The sequence below is a fragment of the Homo sapiens genome, chromosome 12 (genome assembly GCF_000001405.40).
Source record: "Homo sapiens chromosome 12, GRCh38.p14 Primary Assembly".
NCBI lineage: Eukaryota > Metazoa > Chordata > Mammalia > Primates > Hominidae > Homo > Homo sapiens.
In genome coordinates, this window is record NC_000012.12 from 43,550,699 (window position 1) to 43,562,966 (window position 12,268).

The 12,268-nt window shown below is 39.3% G+C and overlaps 1 protein-coding gene and 1 pseudogene across 2 annotated transcripts in view; both read right to left on the bottom strand.

Moving 5' to 3' along the window:
* ADAMTS20 (ADAM metallopeptidase with thrombospondin type 1 motif 20) overlaps positions 1-1,505 on the bottom strand; it is a 199,441-nt gene extending 197,936 nt beyond the window's left edge. For both annotated transcript variants that reach the window (XM_011538754.3, NM_025003.5), the window contains exons 1-2: positions 1,133-1,505; positions 211-572 (exon numbers count right to left, since the gene is read on the bottom strand). In XM_011538754.3, coding sequence (XP_011537056.1) covers positions 211-572; positions 1,133-1,223 — 453 coding nt within the window. In that variant the 5' untranslated portion in view covers positions 1,224-1,505. The remainder of the gene's footprint in view (positions 1-210; positions 573-1,132) is intronic.
* RPL21P101 (ribosomal protein L21 pseudogene 101) lies at positions 10,068-10,638 on the bottom strand (annotated as a pseudogene).

Below are 12,268 nucleotides of genomic sequence, written 5' to 3' on the forward strand. Positions count from 1 at the left end.
GGGTCGGTTTTGCCCAGCAGGCAGAGACCTGCTCATCCTGCCACCAGAGCCTTCCGAAGGAGTTGCCTCTGGCTTGGTGTTAATCCTTCTTGTAGCCCAACCTGAACTCCAGGGTCATCAGCCACCAACTCGAAAACCCAAGGCCCCGTTCGCTGAATGTAGCCCTTGCCTGGATCCCAAGAAAATGCCAAGGGACCCGAGGACACTCACCAGGCCTCCGCATAAGCTGACGACGGCCTTGTAATCCTCCTGTGAGTTGACCTGGCCGCGGTAGAAGCAGTGGCGCAGGTCCGAGGGCCCTGCGTCGCTCTCCCAGGCCCCGCGCTCCGGGGTTCCCAAGTGCACCTCGGTGTAGCCGGCGGCCAGAAAGGATGCATCGGCGGTCAGGTTCAGCTGGAAGAGCTGCCCGTAGGCAGTGAAGCGATAGTGGGTTCGGAACGGCATGGGTTCCAGCGCCTCGGAGCTGCGTTTCTGCCGGCTGAAGTGGTGGCTCTGAGGGAACACTTCTCCAAACTCATTGACCCGCTCGGGGATCACTACTTCGTAGGAGGTCAGTGTCCTCACCAGGGCTTCTGCAACAACAGCGACAGGACCAGTGAGCTCCCACGCGTTCCTCATTGTCCAACTCTAAACTTCTTCCACCAAACGTCCCCGCTAAAGGTCCCAGGTCCCAGTACAGCCAGGGGCAAGACAAATGCACACATGCTGATGCGCACGCACACACACACACGTGCACTGGGACGGTTAGTGCTCTGCTTTCCCACACCCCCAACTTGCCCTACCCTCCCCAAGCAAAGACCCTACCACTAATGGCCCTAAGCAACCCACTTCCTTCCCCAGTACCTCCTAACCTCCCCGCAGCCCCCAACTCGTTCCCTCCGGGTGCAAGCGACCCCCTGCCCCTTGCGCCCCCGCCGTGTGGTCCTGGGAGTGCGATGCGTCTTAGGCGCGCGCGATTCCTCGAAACCCGGCGCAGTCGCGACCTCTCCGGCTGACTGGTCCGGGAGTCCCGGGAGCTCCAGCAGGGCCAGCGTTCCCCAACGGGCTGAGCCGCTCGTCCCCGCGACCTGCATGTCCCACTCGGGCCCCGCGCCCCCACTTAGCCGCTGAAGGCGTCTCGCGGTGACTTTACCTTGCCTGGGGTGGAAGTCAACTTCCCAAGACCTGGTGATGAAGAGCGAGAGATGGTAGAGCAGCCCAGTCAGCCACTTGGCCACCCACATGGTTCCACCCTGGGGACCCCGATCGGGGAGGCCCACCAGAGCCGCCGGCAGCCAAGCCGGCTTCCCTCGCGCTCCGATCCCTCTCCTCCCTCTCGCCCGCCGCTCTCCGCGCCTCAGCAGCCTAGGGAACAGCAGCGCGGGCCCTGGGCCGGCTGGTCCAGCCACACCGCCTGTCTCCGCTCGCTGAGCCGCTGCTTCATCGCACTGCAGCCTCACCCCCCTTCCTGCGCCCGCGCTGCCCTCAGAAACTCTCTGCTCAGGTTCAGCTCGGCGCGGGGAAGCAACTCGACCTAGCAGGAATGGTGCCAATATAGCCACCCCGGACCGGCGAGCGCCGCGGAGAGCCCGCCCCTATGGGCTGTTCCCGGCCAATCAGCGGGAGGCGCGGCCCCTGCTCGCTTTTCCCCGCGCAGCCCCCTCCCTTCTCCACTCAGCCGCAAGGGGACTGCGGTACCCTTCTGCTGCCCCAGTGGGCGCGCGACTTGCTGAGTAGCCCCAAGGCCCGGCTGGGCACCAATTCCGGACCTATGAAACCGAGCGAGATGCAAGCACCCGCGTACGTGAAAGGTGCCTAGGGTTTTGAGCTCTTAGATGAAATGACAAGCATCAGATAGAACGTTTCTGTTTTTTATGTTTTACGGTACTTTTAGGCTTCTCAAACAAAATAAAATAAGCTACAACGGAAGTTCTTGTAGGCAGAGGATGCTACCAATGAAGCTCAGTGACCGGGCCTCACTTGCATGGGCCCCTGTGTGTGCTGGGAGTTGCCGGGAGTTGAGTGCCATAGGTGGGGCGAGGAAGCCGAGTTTGCACACGAGCACTTCTGACAATTGCCGAAATAAATTCAGAAAAGGATCTGAGTCTCCAAAGTTTTAGTAACTTACTGTGGTTTATTTTTCTTCTTTTAATATTCATATTTGTACTTAATTTTGTATCAAGAGCCCTCCAAAATTATATAAACGTCAAGAGCCACAAAACTTGGATCTGCCCTGCCTGCGAGAGTTTTTGCCGTTAGTTCCACAGTATTCATATACACTTTGTTTATAATATACAAATAATCCCGTATATTCACAATTATCCTCCTCTACAATTACTGTGGCTCTGAATCCAGTTGTCTCCAGGTGTCTGTTAAATTGAATACACCACAGTGGTAGCCGAAAGCAATTATTTTAGTACGATTTCTCATTTCTCAAATCCACCTGTTTGATTTGCAGGTTACATAATTACTTTTCTCTATATCCAGTATGAAAGCAAAGGGGGTGGGAGTAGTCAGATTGTCTTGAAATCCAACCAGGGGAGAGAAAGAATATAAGAAAAAAAGGAAAGGAGTATATGAGTAAATCTTCACACACACAATGGAAAACACTTTTAATTTAGTTCCTGACTGCTCTACCTCCTCTGAGCTCTCAACAATGGAAATGCTGCACTCTTTGAATTGACCTCTGATGGCATGCCTCTTCACTTTTATATCATACACTTGGTCATCTGTTGTTCACCACAAATGTGGAACAATCTTGTTCAATGAAAGAGGGTTTAATCTTACATCTCCCAGGAAATCACCCAGCTTGGTGATAGTAATTCTTCCATAATCATTCCCATTCTTTTGTACTCTTTTCTCACAATGAATGAAATGGTGACATTTCATTCACCAAAGAATTATAGACTTCTGGTGGGATTTTTTTCCTAAGCTAAACATAGTATTAGGATTTTTTTCCTAAGCTAAACATAGTATTATTCTCAACAAAACAAAAATGGACTTTACTCACACCTGTCTATTTAGTGGTTACCTTCAGTACATTATAATTGAGTCATTTTAATTACATTGCAGCTCTGAATGTGTCTTCACATTAGGAGCCATACCTTCTCTCCTACAAATACCGGAAAATAGAACTGCACCTGTTTAATTGGCGATCTCATTGCTGACTACAGGGAAAATTTGATATTTCATTTCCATCACTGAATGTTTGTAACTCAGGGCAGTATTTACAATCAAGCATTTGATTTTCAGCTTGCTCTAAGAATGGGGCGAGGGATTTTTTTTTCTTTTTCCTTTTACCTTTTCTTTTTTTTTTTTTTTTTTTTTTGAGATGGAGTCTCGCTCTGTCACCCAGGGTGGAGGGCAGTGGCACGATTTCGGCTCACTGCAACCTCCACCTCCTGGGTTTAAGCAATTTTCCTGTCTCAGCCTCCCGAGTAGCTGGGACTACAGGCACTCACCACCACGCCTGGCTAATTTTTGTATTTTTAGTAGAGACAAGGTTTCACCATGTTGGTCAGGGTGGTCTCGAACTCCTGACCGCAGATGATCCACCCTCCTAAGCCTCCCAAAAGTGCTGGGATTACAGACTAGAGCCACAGTGCCCGGCATCATTTTTCAAATAAATGACAAGGTATGTGGGGTGTGTATACTATATCATTATTATCTTTACAATGTTCAGTAAAATGTATTGTTTTCCTCATTTCATAGAAGATAGATGCTACATTGTCATACAGTATCTAAGCTGGATTTCTACTAATCCTTTCTGACTCCAAATGCTTTTTCATTATACTGAGCTATAAATGTTATTGATATTCACATTATCTCTCTTCTTTCTTCCTACTCTGCTAATGAAAATGTCATGAATAAGCTAATCTATGCCATTTAATTCAAACTATTTCCTCACATGGATAATTAGAGCTATCACTTATGGAATTCTTTGAAATGTATGAAATTTGAAACCAAAGAGATTTGGGTCTAACTTGATGCTAATCCAGAATGAATTATATAATCTCTCTGAGCTTCATGGAGGTAATAGGTAAGTTAAATGGTATGTCAGAGGAATTTCATAAGTGGTACCTGATCCTAGTGCTCTGAGAGGCAGAGGTAGGAAAATCATGTAGGCCAGGAGTTTGAGACCAGCTTGGGCAACACAGTGAGACCTCCGTTTCTAAAAAAAAAAAAAAAAAAAAAAAAATTAGGCATAGCGGCACTTGCCTGTTGAACTAGCTACTGGGGAGACTGAGGCAGAAGGATCATTCCTGAGCCCAGGAGCTCAAGGTTACAGTGAGCTATGATCACACTACCACTCCAGTCTGGGCAACAGAGTGAGATCCCGTCTCTAAAAAAAATAATAATAATATAACATAATAATTAATAAAATATTGTTTGATTTGTAATTGAGACATTAATCATTATAAACACAAGCCATGTGATCAGTTTTTGGCACAGTGTGGAGAAAATATATTCAATCCTGCAAAGGAGAAATATTCTCACTATACTTAGGGGTTAATAGACCTTGTTTTATAATCCTAGTTCTACTGTAAGCAGCTGTATAACGTTGAACAATTTGCCTAATGTAAGCCTACTTTTTCTCAGTTGTAAAATAAAGTTAATAATAGTAATCTCGTGCAATTGTTAAGATGATTAAAAGAGACAATACAGGTAACATTCTTGACATAATACTGAACAAACTATGTTCTCAATGCATATTTATGCTGATTATGGAATACTGAATGTTCATACTAAAAGGAACAACTCTTTGAATATATACTGCTTTTCTAATATTAATAGGTAGGAATTAGGAAGGTCAACTTCATGATTTACCTGAGACTGGGGAATTTCCTAAGGTGCAAGATTTTCATTGCTGAAACCTGGGAAGTCTTTTGAAAACTAGGATTAGTTTGCCACTGAAATTCAAGGTTTCTCAACCAAGGCACTATTGATTTTGGGGTTGGATAATTATTTGTTATTGGAGGCTATGCTGTGCTTTGTACTATGTTTAGCAGTATCCCTGGCCTCCACCCACTCGATGCCAGTAGTACCCCACCCCTGTTGTACAACCAAAAATATTTCCAGATATTGCCAAATCTCCCTCGAGGGCAAAATTGGCCCCAGTTGAAAACCTCTGCTCTAGTACAGGAAGAAAACAGATAAATAATAAGTGCAAAGTGGATTTTGTAGAAGACTCCACAGATACTGCTTCATTTGTAATTATAAATAGCTGACTGCTTAGTAGAAACTCTTCATATATTCTAATTGGTATGAAAATTATCCAGCAGTGTAATTAAAGCAGTGCAACCTGTGGTCATTTTGTTAATAATTTTAAAACATTGTCATTGTTTCCAGGAATGCAGAGAAAAATCAAACTCCTACCCAGCCACTTATTACACTCTGTATTAATTGTATATTTACTTACCTGCATTTAATACTAAATTATATCACCAGAACCAAGTTCTGTTCCCCCTATGAAATAGAAATACATTAAATATTCATTAAATGAATAAATACAAATACTAAAATGTATATAACCTAGGGATAATTGGGCATACTATCAGCCAATCTTACCATCTCTGTCTTTTAGTTGGGATATTTATACCATTTACATTTAATGTAATAATTTATATAGTTACATTCAAGTCTATCATCTTGCTATTTGTTTTCTATCTATCCTATCATTATTCATTCCTTTTTTCTTCATCATCTGTCTTCTTTTGGGTTAAATTAATATGTTTTTTATTCTATTTAATCTCCTTTACTACTCCATTCCTTGTTTTGTTATATAGGTGGTTATTTCAGGATTTATAGTATACATATTTAGCTTATCTCTATCTTCAAGTAATAGTATGCCAATGCAATTTCTTTCTTCCAATCTTTTTACTTTTTACTTTTTCATATGTTATAAATCCCATATTGCATTGTTGCAATTTTATTTAAACAGTTGCTTTCATCTAACATCAATTTTCTTTTCCCTGAAAAGCTTCCTTTAGCCTTTCTTACAGTGTAAGTATGCTGATAATGAATTCTCTCAACTTTTGTATGTCTTAAAAAGTATTGATTTCATCTTTATTTTTTAAGCCTATTTTTTCTGAGTATGGAATTCTATGCTGAAAGCTGTAGATTTTCTTTTAGTAGTTTGAAGACATTGATTAATTGTCTTCTTGCTTCTTTCTAGATTTTTTTCTAACAAAAAAATGTCACGAATGAAAAATCTATTATACTCATCTTCTGCAATAGGGTATCTTTTTATTGTGAACACTTTTAAGATTTTTCTGTCACTAGTTTTGTGCAAATTGATTATAATAAGACTTGACGTGATTTTCTTAATGTTTCTTGTGCTTGGAGTTCATTGAGTGTTTTGGGAACTGTGGGTTCCCAAATTTATTTTCATCAAATTTGCATAATTTGAAGTTATTATTTTTTCAAAACTTTTTCTTTTTTAAGAGAATTTCTGCATACCTTTAATCCTGTGTTCTCTAATGTTCACATATTACATATATAACTATGGTACAACTATTATTATTTTGATTTTTTTTATTTCCATAGTTCATTGTGGAACAGGTGGTGTTTTGCTACATGAATAAGTTCTTTAGTGGTGATTTGTGAGATTTTGGTGCATCCATCACCCAAGCAGTATACACTGCACCCTATTGTAGTCTTTTATCTCTCAACCATTTCCCCCTCTTTCCCCCTGAGTCCCCAAAGTCCATTGTCCATTTTCTCATTCTTATGCCTTTGCATCTTCATAGCTTAGCTCCCACTTATGAGTGAGAACATACGATGTTTGGTTTTCCATTCCTGAGTTACTTCACTTAGTATAACAGTCTCCAATTTCATCCAGGTTGCTGTAAATGCCATTAATTCATCTTTTATGGCTGAGTAGTATTCATTTTATATATATATATATATATATATATATATATATATATATATATATATATATATATATTACAGTTTCTTTATCCACTCATTGATTGATGGGCTTTTAGGTTGGTTTCACATTTTTGCAATTATGAATTGTGCTGCTATACACATATGTGTGCAAGTATCTTTTTCGTGTAATGACTTCTTTTCCTCTGGGTAGATACACAATAGTGGAATTGCTGGATCAAATGGTAGTTCTACCTTTAGATCTTTAAGGAATCTCCACACTGTTTTCCATAGTGGTTGTACTAGTTCACATTCCCACCAGCAGTGTAGAAGTGTTCCCTGTTTACCACATCCATGCCAACATCTATCATTTTTTAATTTTTTGATTATGGCCATTCTTGCAGGAATAAGGTGGTATCACATTGTGGTTTTCATTTGCATTTCCCTGATTGTTAGTGATATTGAGCATTTTTTATATGTTTATTGGCCATTTGTATATCTTCTTTTGAGAATTGTCTATTCATGTCCTTCACTCACTTTTTGGTGGGATTGTTTGTTGTTTATTGCTGATTTGTTCAAGTTCATTGTAGATCCTGGATATTAGTCCTTTGTCAAATGTATAGACTGTGAAGATTTTCTCCCACTCTGTGGGTTGTCTATTTACTCTGCTGACTGTTCCTTTTGCCATGCAAAAGCTCTTTAGTTTAATTCAGTCCCAGCTATTTATTTTTGTTTTTATTGCATTTGCTTTGGGGTTCTTGGTCATGATATCCTTGCCTAAGCCAATGTCTAGAAGGGTTTTTCCAATGTTATTTTCTAGAATTTTTATAGTTGCAGGTCTTAGATTTAAGTCCTTAATCCAGCTTGAGTTGATTTTTGTATAAGGTGAGAGATGAAGATCCAGTTTCATTCTCCAACATGTGGCTAGCCAATTATCCCAGCACCATTTGTTGAAAATGGTGTCCTTTCCCCAACTTTATTTTTGTTTGCTTTGTTGAATATCAGTTGGCTGTAAGTATTTGGGTTTATTTCTGAATTATCTATTCTGTTCCATTGGTCTATGTGCCTATTTTTATACTAGTACCATGCTGTTTTGGTGACTATGGCCTTATAATTTAGTTTGAAATCAGGTAATGTGATGCCTCCAGATTTGTTCTTTTTGCTTAGTCTCACTTTGGCTATGCAGGCTCGTTTTTGGTTCCATATGAATTTTAGAATTTTTTTTCTAATTCTGTGAAGAATGATGGTGGTATTTTGATGGGAATTGTGTTGAATTTGTAGATTACTTTTAGCAGTATGGTCATTTTCACAATATTGCTTCTACCCATCCATGAGTATGGGATGTGTTTCTATTTGTTTGTGTCATCTATGATTTCTTCCAGCAGTGTTTTGTAGTTTTGTATTTAAGTATTTTTTTTGCAGCTATTGTAAATGGGGTTGTGTTCTTGATTTGGTTCCCAGCTTGATCACTGTTGGTGTATAGAAGAGGTACTAATTCGTGTACATTAATTTTGTATCTAAAAACTTCGCTGAATTCTTTTATCAATTCTAGGAGCTTTCTGGAAGAATCTTTAGGGTCAAAACTTTTTCTGTTTCCTCTCTCTGTTTTCTTTCAAGGACTCCAGTTAAACATATATCAGCTTGCATGAAGTCCCACAACTCTCTGAAGCTCTGTTTCCTTTTTTAAATTATCTTTCTTTTTGTGTTTCATTTTTGATAATTTTATTGCCATGTCTTCAAGTTTACTAATCTTTTCTTCTGCCTTGTCTATTCTGCCATTAATCCTATTCAATGTACCTTTCATTTCACATATTGTCATTTCTATCTCTAGAACTTTAACTTGAATCTTATTTTGTATCTTACTTAACTTTTTGAACATATGAAATGCAGTTATAATTCATTTGATGTCGATTCTAACATAAGGGTCAGTGCTCAGTGAATTTAGGTGAAATGATTTTTCCCTTAATATTTGTCATATTTTCCTGCTTCTTGAATGCCTGATGATTTTTTTTATTGCATGTCATACACTGTTAATTTTACATTTTGGGGTACTGGATATTTTTGAATTCTTATAATTATTCTTGAACTTTATTCTGAATGAAGTTAAGTTGCTTGGGAACAAGTCGTCTCTTTTCTTGCTTTTAAGATTTGTTAAGCAAGAGTAAAGCAGGGCTCAGTCTAGGGCGAATTATCTTCTACTACTAAGGCAAGACCCTCTGTGTACTCTATCCAATGCCCATGAATCAAAAGGCTTCCCAATGTAGTTAGCAAAAACAGACTGTTCCTGGCTTTGTAATAGCCAGAGGCACTGTTACCTCTAATGCTTCTGGGTGATTCTTTCCCTATTGTTCCACAGTTGCTTCACGTGCATGTGCACTATTTTTTAAGACGGTAATGCTTCATATAGATGAAATATAAAGAAATTAATTTAAAAGATGAATATTACTATATATACCAGAATAGTTCACTCTCACTTCCTGGAAATTTTGTTTTTTTAAAGAAGAGGGATAACTCCCAGATCACATAACGGCTACCATAAACAAATGAGGTAGAAGCCATATGGAGAAGTAAACTATCCAGAGAGAAGCAAGGAGGCTTAGCAGAGGCAGATGTCAAGTTACACCAGAAAAAAAAAATGTGTTTGCTGAAGGTGAGTGTTAACCTTGTTTTGTGAAAGCTATATTCCATCTGTGGAATATCAGAGATTGAGCACATGAGCATGCTGCCAGCAGAAGTCCTCTTGGAGCAAATTTTGACCAGAAAAGCAGAGGAAGTGAGCTATGCAAATAATAACAAAGAGGAGCCAGAGCTGGAAGAAACAATCTGTCTCTGTAACAGCAGAGAACTACAGAGGCTAGAAGGCTAGTCTACACCTCTCAGCCTCAATAAATAGCTAGTCCAAGAAAAACCAGCTAATTCAAGGATGTTCTATTTTATTTTATAAATTGTTTTATTTGTTCCATGATGATTTAGAGGGACTATCTTCAAACCGGTACAAATGTTTCATAAATAATATCTGACCGTTTTCTAACCAATTGAGTAATGTGTTGCACAATAAGCTACCTCACATCTTTCAGCAAGAAGTACTTTAAATTTGAATAGTAAAGACATTACATAATGAATTAGGACACAATTAAAATTTACTTTAAATGTTTCTTTGCGGGAGGAGGACACCACACTTCTACTCAATGGAGAGAAACATTTTTACAGTCCGGAGGTATTTTTTTTAACAACTATTATGCCATGAATTCATAGGAAATATGAATAATTCGTAAGGAACCATTAATCAAGGGAATAGGTCCCAACAGCTCAGGTTCCTTTCCATTGGTTCTCACAAAGCGTGCTTCTCTGAATGGAGCAGGCTGGCACTTCAGTTGAACCCAGGTACCTTTCTCCTTGGCTTCCTTCTTTTTCTGATCATTTTCCTTCACGCATTTCGGGAAGCTATCTCAACTCTTAGAGTGCTTAATGTGTTCAATACGCACATTCATTCTCTTGGCAAGAATCTTGCCCTTGACTTGTTTACAACAATGCCAACAGCATGTTGGGTGACATTGTAGACTCTTCCAGTTTGCCATGGTAACCCTTGTGGGGCACTCTTTTTTGAACAGTATCTATTCCCTTGATGTCGACAATATCACCTTTCTTATAGATCCGCATATATGTGGCCAAAGGAACAACTCCATGTTTTCTAAAAGGCCTAGAAAACGTGTATCAGATGCCTCTCCTCTTTCCCTTTGTGTTTGTCATTTTGGTGAATTACTGGAAGATGGCAGTTCTGGCTGAAAGAAGGATGTTTTATTTTTTAAGGATTGCATTTAATAAATAAAAATGTGTTATAAGAAACAAACATGGGAAGGAACATCAAAACTTACCTACAGATGAAAGAACACTGCAAACAGGTTGCCATGGAGCAAACAAAAGTCGTCACCAAACATTTTGTCATGGATTTTTTTAAAAATTAATGAAGGGACTACTTTTGAAGTAAGACCTCAAAATAGAAACATAGGAACTCTGGGAAGATATAGAAGGACAATAGAAAGAAATAAAATATGATCTGGAAGAACTCAGAAAAGAAGTAGAGAGGGAAAATTATCCTAACAAAATAAATTGAAACTTGCACAAGGGAAAATAGGCAATATGAAAAACACAATAAGGAATATGGAGAAAATGAGAAACTGACCACATTGAAATGAAAATAAACAGAGGAGGGAAGAAAGGAATGGAAAGGAAGGGGAGGGGAGGGGAGGGGAGGGGAGGGGAGAGGAGGGGAGGGGAGGGGAGAGGAGGGGAGGGGAGGGAAGAAGAGAGGGAGAGAGAGGGACAGACTAGGGAGATAGGGAGATAAATATAAATAAAAGATATACATTGGAGATCCACATATACATGTTGGGAGAAGTCGCTGAAGAACAAAAAAAGTGAACAGAACAAATTTTAAGGTATAATTCAACAGTGCTTTTGTTAAAATGAAAGACTTAAATTTTCATATTTGACAAACACATTGGGTAGAAAGAAATTGACCAAGAATGGTTAACATAAAGACATTTCCTAGTAAAACTACTGGGCTTTAAAATAAAGATTAATTTTCTTCCTAGCCAGGCAAGATAAATATTATTTATGAGGAAAAAGTCATAGGTCATATTCATATTTCTTCACAGCAACATTTAACAGCAGAAGACATCAGAAGGCATTCAACATCCAAACAAGATTCTTACTGTGTATCAAGGATACAACCTTTAATGTGTATCAAGGAAAGAAATATGAGTTGAGGATTCTATCCAGCAAAACTATCTTTCAAATACAGACTATAGACAAACAGTTCTGAATCTGCAAGAATTCAAAGAATATTTTCCTGAAGGCCAAAAGGCAACCAACCAAAGAATGGGTAAATTAGAGCAAAAGGAATGATAAACAGTTTTGAAAAATTTTAACTGACAGCTAAGACTGAAATCAGTGTTGGGTACTGAACCAATCCAAATGTTACAGAGTGAAATGAAAAATTAATAAATATATGGCAGTTATGAGTATGTATGTAAGTGCATAGCATAGCAACCACCTCCACGTAGCAAAAATTACAAGCATTATAAGGAAATATAGGAAAGGATAGACTAGTAGTAGTAGGAAAGTAGTAGGAAATATAGGAAAGAATAGACTAGTAGTAGGAGTTTTTAATTCATACCTACCATTTCATGACAGGGTAAAAGGGCAAGAATATGAATGAGAATGTAAATAACCTTTATAGTATAACTAAAAAAATAGTTGTGTCTAGACTGTTTGTTTAACATTCGTAAATTCCAAAAAGTAGAACTAGTTTAGCTAACATTCTCTGATTACAATGTAATAAACTAAAAAAAGCAGGAAAACTAAAAGTTTTCTTCAGAGGGAGTTTTTGCTGTTGTTGTTCGTTTGTTTGTTTTTT